Source organism: Homo sapiens, chromosome 10 (assembly GCF_000001405.40).
Source record: "Homo sapiens chromosome 10, GRCh38.p14 Primary Assembly".
Lineage (NCBI taxonomy): Eukaryota > Metazoa > Chordata > Mammalia > Primates > Hominidae > Homo > Homo sapiens.
This window is the reverse complement of record NC_000010.11, coordinates 42,537,196-42,551,506: the sequence shown is the minus strand read 5'-3', so window position 1 is coordinate 42,551,506 and position 14,311 is coordinate 42,537,196. Positions and strand designations below refer to the sequence as shown.

Below are 14,311 nucleotides of genomic sequence, written 5' to 3'. Positions count from 1 at the left end.
ACATGTTAAGTGACTGTTGACATTGACACATTTTGTTGTGGCAGAGTCAAGAACAGACACTGAGTCGCTTGAGGACTCAGGCAGGTGTTTGCTGCATTGACAACAGAGTAAGAAAAAATCCGTTTGCTTTTTAAAATCCAAAGATGGTTTTGAGAACCTGAAACCAAGTTAGAGCAAGTTCGTTTTCCTTCCAAAAAAACTGGGCTCTGCCGGGCGCAGTGGCTCACGCCTGTAATCACAGCACTTTGGGAGGCTGAGGCCGGCAGATCACGAGGTCAGGAGTTCGAGACCAGCCTGACCAACATGGTGAAACCCCGTCTTTACTAAAAATACAAAAAATTAGCCCGACGTGGTGGTGCGCACCTGTAGTCCCAGCTACTTGGGAGGCTGAGGCAGGAGAATCACCTGAACCCAGGAGGCAGAGGTTACAGTGAGCCAAGACTGTGCCATTGCACTCCAGCCTGGGTGACAGGGCAGGACTCTGTCTCAAAAAAGCAAACAAAAAAAAACTGGGCTGAAAAATACCACATCACTTTTTTCAAAACCTTGTTGGGATTCTCTGGTTTATAATAAAGATTAAAACCTGAATATTTTTGTTTAGCATCAGTTTTAATGAAAGTATTATGTTCCATTCTTTGGCTTTTCCTAACTTGCTTAATTAGTTTAATATATTGGTTTGCATACTCTGTTAGAGTACAGCATAAGTTGTTTATAAGTCAGTAGAAAACCAAACGTTTTCACATTTGAAAACTAATGTGTCCAAGCAGTACATAACCATGCCAGAGTCATGCATGGACGTGTGAGTATCTCCCTTTTAGAGATGTTTTGCCAGCTGGGAGGTGGACATTTTTAGGCAAGTGACATTTCTCATGTTCTTTTCTTGTTTGTAAGCTACACCCTCTCGGTTTTCTCTGCTCTGCCAACACTAGTGGAATATGATCACATCCCAGGTAAGTTGTTTATTTTTTCACAGTTTTGCTTAAAACTAATTATTGAGGTTTAAAAAATGTCTATACATTCATATGAAAGTAGAAATAACATCCTGGAAAATATAGAGGAGAGGTCACATTACAGTTCATGGGTCAAATGCAGCCTACTGTCTGTTTTTTTATGGTCCACAAATGAAGGATGGTTTTTATACTTTTAGGTGGCTGAGGGAAAAAAACCAAGAGTATTATTTTGCTTGGAAATTGTATGAAATTCAGACTTCATTGTCTATGAATTTTTATTGGGACTCAGCTATACTCATGTATTTATGTATTGCCTGTTGGTACTTTCACACTACAAAGGCAGAGTTGACTGGTTGCAGCAGAGACTGTAATGGCCTACAAGCCTAAAATATTTACTGTGTGACTCTTTACAGAAAATGTTTGCTGATTTCTGATAGAGAGTTGATGAAGAGTAAGACAAAAATGTCATATAGGTGAATGCAGATCTTGTGATCTTACAGTTGTGAAACTGGAACATAAAACAGTTTGTCGGTGGGCTTTATTAGGTGACATTGTGAAACTTCTGATGACAGTCTTGCAGGTACTTAAAAAAGTAGTACAACAAAGTGAGTAATTCATGTGCAGTCCAGGGGAAAACTTAACAGATAGCAAAAGAAAGTATATGATTAAAAAATTCAAATAGGCCGGGCACATTGGCTCACGCCTGTAATCCCAGCACTTTGGAAGGCTAAGGCGGGTGGATCATGAGGTCAGGAGTTCGAGACCAGCCTGACCAACATGGTGAAACCCTGTCTCTACTAAAATTACAAAAATTAGCTGGGCATGGTGGTGCGTGCCTGTAATCCCAGCTAGTCAGGAGGCTGAGGCAGGAGTATCACTTGAACCCAGGAGGTGGAGGTTGCAGTGAGCCGAGATTGTGCCACTGCGCTCCAGCCTGGGCAACAGAGTGAGACTCCGTCTCAGGAAAAAAAAAAAAAAAAAAAAAAATCCAATGAATTGTGTAGCATTAGGACTCATGGTTGTTTAAAGAAACAGTCCTGGTAGGCTAGGGTGATCATGGGTTGTTAGGATGTGGCAGGCTTTGTGACAGCCTTAGAGACTGGGCAGAACTGGAATATTTGCAATAACTTTCGAGGGATTCTACCTAAAAAAAAAATTGTGGTAAAACACACATCACATGAAATTCACAAGCCATTTTAAAGTATAGAATTCAGTGACTTTAGTACATTCACAATGTTGTACAACCATAACCACCATTTATTTCTGGAATATTTTCATCACACCAAAAGGAAACACATCACCCTTAATAAGCAGTATTGTAACTTAATAAGCAGTTGCTCCCTTTTCCCCGCTGTGCTCCCAGCCCCTAACAACCAATAATCTCCTTTCTGTCTTTATAGATTTGCCTATTTTGGATATGGCATATGAATGGAATCATACAATTTGTGTCTGATCTCTCACTTAGAATAATGTTTTCAAGACCCATTTATGTTGTAGTTGTATATCAGTACTTTGTCCCTTTTTATGACTGAACAATATTCTATTATATGGATATATCACCTTTTGTTTATCCATTCATCTGTTGATGGACATTGGGGGTCATCCTGTGTTTCGCTATTGTGGAGAGTGCTCCTATGAGCATTCATGTACAAATATTTGTTTGAATACATGCTTTCAATTGTTTTGGGTATATACGTACAAGTGAAATTGCTGGGTGATATGGTAATTTTACATTTAATTTATTGTGAAACCGACAGTTTTCCACAGCAGGGTGCTTTGCAATCCATAGGAATTTTTAGTTAGCTTTTCTATTTCTGCAAAAAAGTATGTTGAGTTTTTGATAAGTATTGGATTGGGTAAGTATTAGAGTGGGTGATAACACTTTGGGGAGTGTTATCTTAATATTAAATCTTATAATCAATGAACATAAGATTTTTTTTCCCTAGGTCTTCTTTCCTTCATTAATATTTTGTAGTTTTCAGTGTACAAGTGTTGCATATCCTTGCTTAAATTTATTAAATAGTTTTTCATTTAAATGCTATCGTAAATTATATGAAATTCAGACTTCAGTGTCTATAAAGTTTTATCGGGACTCAGCCATACTCATGTATTTATGTATAGCCTGTGAGTACTTTCACACTACGAGGGCAGAGTTGACTGGTTGCAGTAGAGACTGTGATGGCCCACAAGCCTAAAATTTCTTTTGTTTAAATGCTATTGTAAGTGGAATTGTTAATTTGCTTTTTGACTGCTCATTGTAATGAGTACACAAATAATTTTTGAGTGTTGATCTTGTATCTTGTAATTTTGCTGAATTTGTTTCCTACTTCTAGTAGTTTCTTTGTGGATTCTTTAGTATTTTCTGCATATAAGATCATGTCATCTGCAAACAAAACTATTTCATTTCTTTCTTTCTAATTTGGGTTTATTTATTTATTTACTTAGCCTAATTCCTCTGGCTGAAATTTTTAGTACAATGTTGAATATATGTGGCCAAAGCAGGCATCTTTATTTATTGTTAGTTTTTTGCTTTAGCAATCTTAACTATTTTTGGATGTACAGTTCAGAAGCAGTGTTAAGTATATTCATATTGTACATCTAATCACCAGAATTTTTTCATCTTGGGAAATTGAAATTCTCTACCCATTAAACAATAACTCCCCATTTTCCCCTCCTCCTTGCCCCTGGCAACCACCATCCTACTTTCTGTTTCTATGAGTTTCACTATTTTTGCTATATCTCATATAAGTGAAATCATACAGTATTTGTCTTATTGTGACTGGCTTATTTCACCTAGCGTAATGTCCTCAAGCTTCCTCAGTGTTGTAGCATGTGTCAGAATTTATCTCCTTTCTGATGTTGAATGATATTTCATTGTACCCATGTTTTGTTTATTCATTCATCTGTCAGTGGACATTTGGGTTCCTTCCTCCTTTTAACTGTTGTGAATAATGCTACTGTGAACATGGGGTACAACTATTCTTTGAGATCCTTCTTTCAGTTCTTTTGGTTATATACTCAGAAGTGGTATGGCTGGAACCTATGGTAATTCTATTTTTAATTCCTTGAGGAAACACCGACCTGTTTTCTACAGAAGGTGCACCATTTTACAGTCCCATCCTCAGTGTACAGGATTCTGATTTCTCCATATCCTTGCCAACACTCGTTATTTTCTTTTGTTGTTTTGATAGCAGCCATTGTAATGGGTGTATGGTAATTTTTCACTGTGGTTTTGATTTGTATTTCCCTAATGATCAGTGATGTTGAGCATATTTTCATAAGCTTGCTGACCATTTATATATCTTTAATGGAGAAATGTCTGTTCAAATCCTTTGTCCATCTTTGAATCAGGTTATTTTGTTTGTTTTGAGTTGTAGGGGTTCTTTATATATTTTTTATATTAATTCCTCATCAGATACATGAATTGCAAATATTTCCTCCTGTTGTGTTGGTTGTCTTTTCATTCAGTTAACTGTGTCCTTTGATGCACAATTTTTAAGTTTGATGTGGTCCAATTTATTTTTATTTCTGTTGCCTGTGGTTTTTGGTATTATATCCAAGAAAACATTGCCACACGAATCCATTCTCCTATGTGTTCTGCCATGAGTTTTGTACCTTTAGTTCTTAGATTTAGGTCTTTGATTCATTTTGAGTTAATTTTTTTGTTTTTGTTTTGTTTTGCATGTGGCTATCCAGTTTTACCAACACTATTTGTTAGAAAAATTGTCCTTTCCCTATTGACTGTTCTTGACAACTTTGTTGAAAATCATTTTACCATACATGCATGGGTTTTCAAGATTATTTTGGCTAGTTGAGATCCCTTGAAATTCTATGTAAACTTCAGGATGATTTATTTCTATTTCTGTTACTATGTCTTCTTTGTAGACTTAGTTTTTTTTTTTTTTTAATCAATATGTAGTGTTTTTCTCTTGTAACAATTTTTGATTTAAAGTCTCTTTTGTCTCAGTATAGCCACCCTGGCATTCTTTAGGTTACTATCCTCTTCTGTCATTTCAATTTCAACCTATTGTGTTGTGTGTTTGTATCTAAAGAGAGTGTCTTGTAGACAATATATACCTGGATCATATATTTTTATTTATTTTGCCAATTTATTTTTATTTTTATTATTTATTTTATTTTATTTTTTTTTTGAGACAGAGTCTTACTGCATCACCCAGGCTGGAGTGCAGTGGTGCGATCTTGACTCTCTGCAACCTCTGCCTCCAGCGTTCAAGCAGTTCTTCTGCCTCAGCCTCCCGAGTAGCTGGGATTACAGGTGTACACCACTACACCTGGCTAATTTTTGTATTTTTTTTTTTTTTTTAGTAGAGATGGGGTTTCACTGTATTGGTCAGGCTGGTCTCAAACTCCTGACCTCGTGATCCGCCCACCTCAGCCTCCCAAAGTGCTGGGATTACAGGTGTAAGCCACCATGCCCAGCCTATTTTGCCAATTTCTGTCTTTTAGTTGGGAGTTTAGTTTATTTACATTTAGAGTAAATTATAAACTGATAAAGGACTTATACCATTTTGCTATTTGTTTTCCATACGTATTACATCTTTTTTGTTTTCAGTTTTTCTGTGTATGCCTTCTTTTGTGTTTGTTTTTTTCTAATGTGCCATTTTAATTCCTTTTGTATTTGTTTGTAGTCATTATTTACCTAGTGTTAATACTTGGAATTGCAATTAGCATCTTGAATTTATAACAATCTAGCTTGCATTAATACTAACTAAGCCTTAATATTATATAAAAACTCTCCTCCTATACGGCTTTGTCCCTGTCCTTTGTCTTCTTATTGTCTCATTTTATGCCTTCATAAATAGCGTGCACATTACCATAGATTTATAATTATTGTTTTATGTATTTGTCTTTTAAATCATATAGAAAAAAGAGAGAACATAAAAGCCAAGAATACAATAAGACTGGCTTTTGCATTTACTTACAGTAGTTACTTTTACCATTTGAATTTTTTGTGTGTTTCGATTGGAGTTACTGTCTAATGTCCTTTTGTTTCAACCTTAAGGACTTCCTTTTGCATTTCTTGTAGGACAGATCTAGTACTAATAAATTCTCTCAGATTCTGTTGATCTAGGAATGTTTTAATTTCTCTTTCATTTTTGAAAGGCAGTTTTGCCAAATGTAGAATTTTTGATATATATTTTTTTTCTTTTGGCACTTGAAAGGTGCCATTATCCTACTGCCTCTGGCCTTCATGGTTCCTAATAAAAGTCTGGCTGTTAATCTTATTTCAGATCCTTTGTACATGGTTAGTCCCTTATCTCTTGCTACTTTTGAGATTCTTTGTCTTGTGACAATTTATTATTTCTCTCAGTTTGAAGTTCTTTGAGCTTATCCTAATTATAGTTTCTTGAGAGTCTTGGGCATAGAGATTCATGTCTTTCATCAGTTTAGAAGGTCTTCAGACATTATTTCTTCAGATATTTTTGGTTCCCTTTTCTCCTCTTCATTAGCAACTCTTGTTATTAACTTGTTGGTATGCTTGATGTTGTCTCATAGATCTCTTAGGCACTGTCCATTTTTCACCATTCTTTTTCTCTGCTCCACAGAATGAGTAATCTCCATCAGTGTCTTCAATTTTGCTGATTCTTTGTTCTCTTTGAGCTCCAATCTTTTATTAAATCCTTTGACTGATTTTAAAAAAATTTAGTTTTTGTACTTGTCAGCTCCAGACATTCCTAATTACATTTTTGTAATTTTGTTCTGTATATTAATATTTTATATTTGGCAGGGCATCGCTCACCTGCTTTCTGTTAGTTGTCTGGTTTCATTTAGCTTTTTGTGCACATTTAGAACAGTTGATTTAAATTCTTTATCTAGTAAGACCAATAACAAAGGTGTCTTTGAGGACAGGTTTTATTCATTTCTTTTTTCTGTGTGTCTGTGGGTCATATTATCTTCTTTGCATTCCTCATAATTTTTTATTGAAAACTGAACATTTTGAATATTAAAATGTGTTAATTCTAGAAATCAGATTCTTTTCCCCAGAATTTGTTGTTGCTGTTTATTTTGCATTGTTTGTTTATTTTGTGACTTTTCAAAACTATTTTTGTAAAGTTCTTTGTTGTACATGGTCACAGAAACCTCTGTTCCCTTAGTTTAGTGGTCAGTTTGTGATCTGACAGAGATTTCTTTAAATGCCCAAAGCCAAAACAAAACAAAAAACTATTCTGGTCTTTGCATATTTGCCCTGTTTTAGGGCGCTCTTGTAATGGTTTGCCAGGCCATTTACATCTCTGTGTAAAGCTTTACTTCCTGCTTACACTGAGCCTGAAGGTCAACCAGACTGAAAGCTTAGGTTCCTCTCAGGTTTTTTGTGAGCGTGCATATTGCCCTGGCCTTGCACATGACCTCAATTCCCTGGTTTATGCAGGAGCTTTTCAAACCCCTTATCCCCACCCCGGCCCCCATGTATTTCCTTCCCAGTTTTTCCACTCCCAGTTTTATCAGTCCATCTGCTGCTTTTCTCATCTGGCTGCTGAGGCCAGATAATTGCCTTTAAATGCTTTCAACTAGCACTTCCTGGAAGACTAGCCCTGAGAAAGTTCCAAGGCAGGCAAAACAAAGACAAGCCTGTGAGCCACTTCTTCAGAGAGCCCGCATAGACAGATCAAAACACACAACTACAGTTCTCTGAAAACAAAGTGCATACTGTCCACTTTGGCACAGGCATCAGCAAGCCACGCCAGAAATGTTCTGGGCTTACTAGGTTTTTAATTAGATTGGAGAATTCTGAAAAGCTTGATGCTGAGAGGGTTTTTTTTGTTTTTCCAGCTTAATTGTTGCTTTAGTTTGGGATGGAATTTTGGAATTACCTATTCCATTTTCAGCCTGCTTCCCACATCAATTTTTGAGTAATTACTCTGTGGCACAACAGATATGCCTGGCCCATCTTGTCCTTTTCCTGCACTACCTTTGCCATCAGCCATTTCTCCAAAGGACATTGTTCTTTCTAGTGGAGGATGGAATTTAAAAACCAAGATCTGGGTGCTCATTGCTAGAGGCTGTCACTGCCTCAGACCCTCTCAATTGACAGAGATAGGAAATACATGTATGTATGTGTACATACACATACACAGAAATACACATGTGTACACTTATTTTTGTATTGGTCTGTCTATACATATTTTTTAAACAATGAGTTTACATAGACATTTCCCAGTTTCAATCTTAACCCCATAGCCTTTCTGTTTTCCATCTTTGTAACTTCTTTCTCCAATAGTGAGAAACCAGGCTATATCATTATCCACAATATTTATTTGCTCCTTCTCCCTGTTTGTATCCAATCTTTTTTTTTTTTTTTTGAGATGGAGTTTCACTCTTGGTGCCCAGGCCAGAGTGCAATGGCATGATCTCAGCTCACTGCAACCTCCACCTTCTGGGTTCAAGCGATTCTCCTACCTCAGCCTCTGAAGTAGCTGGGATTAGAGGCATGTGCCACCATGACTGGATACTTTCGTATTTTTAGTAGAGACGGGGTTTCTCCATGTTGGTCAGGCTGTTCTCGAACTCCCAACCTTAGGTGATCTGCCCGCCTTGGCCTCCCAAAGTGTTGGGATTACAGGCATGAGCCACTGCGCCCAGCCTGTATCTAATCTCTTAAACCTGCCAGTGCTACCTGTCTCCTCAGCTCTGGTTTGATCCCTTAGATCACCATCTTCCTGGAATTATCCATACTTGCTATATTAAATATTCAAATCAGATTTGATGTATTAAAAAATTTTAGAAGTTAAAAGGGGCCATTTGACAAAGTCTTATTTTTGGAAAAACATTATTACTTTATGTAAGCTTATCAAAAATAAAATTTCTGCTTATTGGCAGCACAGTATCTAAACCTGTCTCTCCAGGTTGTGAAGCCACTACTTTGTCCATTAAGTTATAAGGACACTTATCTCATTCATGAAGGAAGGCAGAGCTTCCTAATCACCTCCTAAAGGCCATGCCTCTTCATACTATTGCAATGGTATTAGATTTCAACATATGAAGTTGTGAAGGGCACAAACATTCAGACCATAACACTTAAGTATTTTATTCTACTGGATACTATCATAAATGGGATTATTTTCTGAATTTCCTTTTGGATAGTTCATTGTTGGAGTTTTTTTTTTTACAGAAAACCTAATTGTTATGTGTTGATTTTGTACTCTGCAACTTCGCCGAAACCATTTGTTAGCTCATAGTTTTTTTGTGGATTATTTGCTAAATAATGTTATCTGCAAATAGAGTAGTTTTACTTCTGCCTTTCAATTTGAATGTCTTTTATTTCTTTTTCTTGCCTATTTGCTCTGGCTAGAACTTTTAATACAGTGTTGAATTGCAGTGGTGAAAGCACTATGCTTTGCCTGTTCATGATCTTAGAGGGGATGTTTCAGTCTTTCACTATGGAGTATGTTACCTGTGAGTTTTTTATATATGCACTTTATTATGTTGAAGAACTTTGCTTCCTTTCCTCTGTTTTCTGACTTTTATTATCCTTGAATGGTATTGGGTTTTGTATTTTTTTCTGCCTCATTGATATGATCACGTGTTTATTCATTTGTTTTATTAATGTGGTGTCTTACACTGATTAATTTTCTTATATTGAACCACTCTTGCATTCCTGGGATAGATCCAACTTGGTCATAGTATGTAATGTTTTTAATATGCTGCCAAATTTTGTTTGCTAGTATTTTATAATTTTTTACATCTGTATTCATAAGGGATATTAGCCTGTAATTTTATTTTCCTGTGAAGTCTTTTTTTGGCTTTGGTATCAAGATAATGCTGGCCAGCATTATAAAACTCATGGGAATTAGTTAGGAAGTATTCCCTTCTAATTTTTGGAAATGTTTGAGGAAGATTAGTATTACTTCTTTAATTTGATAGAATTGACCAGTGAAGCCATCTTACGCTGGATTTTTTTCCCTTGGGCAGTTTTTTAAAAAATTACTGATACATCTCTTTACTTGTTATAAGTATGTTGAGATTTTCTGTTTCTTCTTGAGTCAGTTTTAGTAATGTGTGTGCTTCTAGGAAATGTGTCTATTTCATTGAGTTACTTAATTTATTAGTGTACAGTTGTTCATAGTATTCTCTTATAACCCATTTTTTTTTGTAATGTCACTTTCATTGCTGATTTTAGTCCTTTGAATTTTTTTTCTTTAGTCAATCTAGCTAAAAGCTTATGAATTTTGTTCTATTTAAGGAATCAGCTTTTGGATTTTTTGGTTCTCTGTAGTTTTCTATTTTCTGTTCACTTATCTTTGCTGTAATATGTATTATATCCTTCCTTCTGCTAGCTTTGGGTTTAGTTTGATCCTTCTTTGCTAGTTGCTGAAAGTGTAAAGTTATTGATTTCTTTCTTTTTGAAAATAGGCATTTATTGCTATAAATCTCCTTATAGGCATATTCTTGGCTGCATCCCATAAGTTGTGATACAGTCTCTTTACTTTTTCACCTGTTTCTAAGTATTTTTAAATTTCCTTTGTGCTTTCTTATTTGATCATTAAACTTTAATATCCACGTTAAAAATTTTTTTCTATTACTGATTTCTAGCTTTATCCTATTATGGTCAGAAAATATATATATATTTTTATTATTTCAGTCTTTTTAAATTTACTGAGATTTATTTTGTGCCCTAATCTGTGGGCTTCCCTGTACAATGTTTCTTGTGCACTTGAGAATAATGCATATTTTGCTATTGGTAGGTAGAGTATTCCACATACTTCTCTTAGGCCTACTTGGTTTATACCATTATTCAAATACTCTGTTTTCTTACTGATCTTCTGTCTGGATATTCTATCCATTAATGAAAGCAGAGCAATGAAGTGTCCAACTATTATTACCGAACTCTGCATTTCTTCATTTAAATCTGTCAGTGTTTGCTTTATATGTTTGGTTCTATTTTCTTTGATCTACGTATGTTTGCAATTGATTTTTTTTATTAACACTTTTCCAGTTGTATAATGTCCTTCTTTGTCTCTTATAACAGTTTTTTACTTAAAGTCTGTTTTTTTTTGTTGTTGTTTTTTGTTTTTCTAGTATTAGTGTAGCTACCCAGCACTCTTTTGGTTATTATTTGCATAAATATCTTTCTTCACCCTTTCGCATTCAGCTTACTGGCTTTGGATCTACTATGAGTTTCTTGGAGACAGCTTATGGTTAGATCTTTTTCTTTTGTTCCCCTTATTTTCTGTTTATAATTTTTATGGATACATAGTGAGTATATATATTTATGTGATTTATATACATGAGATATTTTGATATAGGCCTACAATGTGTAAAATCACATCAGAGTGAGTGGGGTATCCATCAACTACAGCACTTATCCTTTCTTTGTGTTACAATCAAATTATACTCTTATTTTAAAATGTACAATAAATTATTTTGGGGATTTGTGTCAAGATGGCCAAATAGGAACAGCTCTGGTCTGCAGCTCCCAGAGAGATTGACGCAGAATGCGGGTGATTTCTGCATTTTCAACTGAGGTACTTGGGTCATCTCACTGGGACCAGTGGGACAGTCAGTGCAGCCCATGGAGGGTGAGCCGAAGCAGGATGGGGCGTCGTCTCACCCAGGAAGTGCAATGGGTCTGGGAACTCCCTCTCCTAGCCAAGGGAAGCCATTAGGGACTGAGCCATGAGGAATGGTGCACTCTGGCCCAGATACTGCACTTTTCACACACTCTTCACAACCTGCAGACCAGGAGATTCTCTCTGGTGCCTATGCCACCAGGGCCTGGGTTTCAAGCACAAAACTGGGCAGCCGTTTGGGCAGACACCAAGCTAGCTGCAGGAGCTTTTTTTTCATACCCCAGTGGTGCCTGGAACACCAGTGAGACAGAACCATTCACTCCCCTGGAAAGGGGGCTGAAGCCAGGAGCCAGTGGCCTGGCTCGGCAGGTCCTACCCCCACGGAGCCCAGCAAGCTAAGATCCACTGGCTTGAAATTCTCACTGCCAGCCCAGCAGTCTGAGCTCAACCTGGGATACTCGAACCTGGTGGGAGGAGGGCCATCTGCCATGGCTGAGGCTTGAGTAGGCAGTTTTACCCTCACAGTGTAAACAAAGCTGCCTGGAAGATTGAACTGGGTGGAACACACCACAGCTCAGCAAGGCTGAGACTGCCTCTCTAGATTCCTCCTCTCTGGGCAGGGCATCTCTGACAAAAAAGGCAGCATCCCCAGTCAGGGGCTTATAGATAAAAGCCCCATCTCCCTGGGATAGAGCACCTGGGGGAAGGGGCGGCTGTGGGCACAGTTTCAGCAGACTTAAAGGTTGCTTCCTGATGGCTCTGAAGAGAGCAGCAGATCTCCCAGCACAGCGTTCAAGCTCTGCTAAAGGTCAGACTGCCTCCTCAAATGGGTCACTGACCCCCATGTCTCCTGACTGGGAGACACCTTCCAGTAGGGGCCAACAGACACCTCATACAGGAGAGCTCCAGCTGGCCTCTGGCAGGTGACCCTCTGGGACAAAGCTTCCAGAGGAAGGAACAGGCAGCAATCTTTGCTGTTTGGCAGCCTCTGCTGGTGATACCCAGGCAAAGAGGGTCTGGAGTGGAACTCCAGCAAACTCCAGCAGACTTGCAGCAGAGGGGCCTGACTGTTAGAAGGAAAACTAACAAACAGAAAGGAATAACATCAACATCAACAAAAAGGACATCCACTCAGAGACCCCATCTGAAGGTCACCAACATCAAACACCAAAGGTAAGGAAATCCATGAAGATGGGGAGAAACCAGTGCAAAAGGCAGAAAATTCCAAAAACCAGAATGCCTATTCTCCTCCAAAGGATCACAACTCCTTGCCAGCAAGGGAAGAAAACTGGATGGAGAATGAGTTTGACAAATTGACAGAAGTAGGCTTCAGAAGGTAGGTAATAACTAACTACTCCACGCTAAAGGAGCATGTTCTATCCCAATGCAAGGAAGCTAAGAACATTGAAAAAAGATTAGACGTATTGCTAACTAGAATAACCAGTTTAGAGAAGAACATAAATCACCTGATGGAGCTGAAAAACACAGCACGAGAACTTCATGAAGCATACACAAGTATCAATAGCTGACTCAATCAAGCAGAAGAAAGGATATAAGAGATTGAAGATCAGATTAATGAAATAAAGTGAGAAGACAAGATTACAGAAAAAAGAACAAAAAGGAATGAACAAAGCTTCCAAGAAATATGGAACTATGTGAAAAGACCAAATCTATGTTTGATTGGTGTACCTGAAAGTGACGGGGAGAATTGAACCAAGTTGGAAAACACCCTTCAGGATATTATCCAGGAGAACTTTCCCAACCTAGCAAGAGAGGTCAACATTCAAATTCAGGAAATACAGAGAATACCACAAAGATACTCCTTGAAGAGAGCAACCCCAAGACACATAATCATCAGATTCAGCAAGGTTGAAATGAAGGAAAAAATTTTAAGGGCAGCAAGAGAGAAAGGTCAGGTCACCCACAAAGGGAAGCCCATCAGACTAACAGCAGATCTCCCTGCAGAAACCCTACAAGCCAGAAAAGAGTGGGTGCCAATATTCAACATTCTTAAAAGAATTTTCAACCCAGAATTTCATATCCAGCCAAACTAAGCTTCATAAGCGAAGGAGAAATAAAATCCTTTACAGACAAGCAAATTCTGAGAGATTTTGTCACCACCAGGCCTGCCTTACAAGAGTTCCTGAAGGAAGCACTAACCGTGAAAAGGAACAACCAGTACCAGCCACTGCAACAACATACCAAATTGTAAAGACCATTGACACTATGAAAAACCTGCATCTACTAATGGGCAAAATAACCAGCTAGCATCATAATGACAGGATCAAATTCACATATAACAATATTAACCTTAAATGTAAATGGGCTAAATGCCCCAATTAAAAGACACAGACTGGCAAATTGGATAAAGAGTCAACACCCATCAGTGTGCTGTATTCAGGAGACCCATCTCATGTGCAAAGACACACATCAAAATAAAGGGATGGAGGAATATTTACCAAGCAAATGGAAAGCAAAAAAAACAGAGGTTACAATCTTAGTCTCTGATAAAACAGGCTTTAAAACAATGAAGATCAAAAGAGACAAAGAAGGGCATTACATAATGGTAAAGGGATCAATGCAACAAGAAGAGCTAACTATCCTAAATATATATGCACTCAATACAGGAGCACCCAGATTCATAAAGCAAGTTCTTAGAGACCTACAAAGACACTTAGACTCCCACACAATAATAGTGGGAGACTTTAACAGCCCAGTCTCAATATTAGACAGTTCAACAAGACAGAAAATTAACAAGGATATTCAGAATGTTAACTCAGCTCTGGACCAAGCAGACCTAAGACACATCTACAGAACTCTCCCACCCAAATC

At 37.5% G+C, this 14,311-nt stretch overlaps 1 pseudogene across 1 annotated transcript in view, besides 2 other annotated features; it reads left to right on the top strand.

Moving 5' to 3' along the window:
* The window catches only part of ZNF37BP (zinc finger protein 37B, pseudogene), a 39,361-nt pseudogene that overhangs the window by 1,364 nt on the left and 23,686 nt on the right, over nt 1-14,311 (top strand). Inside the window, exon 5 of the transcript NR_026777.2 lies at nt 892-950. The product of NR_026777.2 is annotated as a zinc finger protein 37B, pseudogene (transcript). The remainder of the gene's footprint in view (nt 1-891; nt 951-14,311) is intronic.
* Nucleotides 11,261-11,760: an enhancer, noted in NCBI's record as "H3K4me1 hESC enhancer chr10:43035195-43035694 (GRCh37/hg19 assembly coordinates)". NCBI's record gives its function as "activates a minimal SCP1, AML or CMV promoter by ChIP-STARR-seq in naive H9 embryonic stem cells {active_cell/tissue: H9 hESC(naive)}" and the evidence as "EXISTENCE:reporter gene assay evidence [ECO:0000049][PMID:30033119]".
* Nucleotides 11,761-12,262: an enhancer, noted in NCBI's record as "H3K4me1 hESC enhancer chr10:43034693-43035194 (GRCh37/hg19 assembly coordinates)". NCBI's record gives its function as "activates a minimal SCP1, AML or CMV promoter by ChIP-STARR-seq in naive H9 embryonic stem cells {active_cell/tissue: H9 hESC(naive)}" and the evidence as "EXISTENCE:reporter gene assay evidence [ECO:0000049][PMID:30033119]".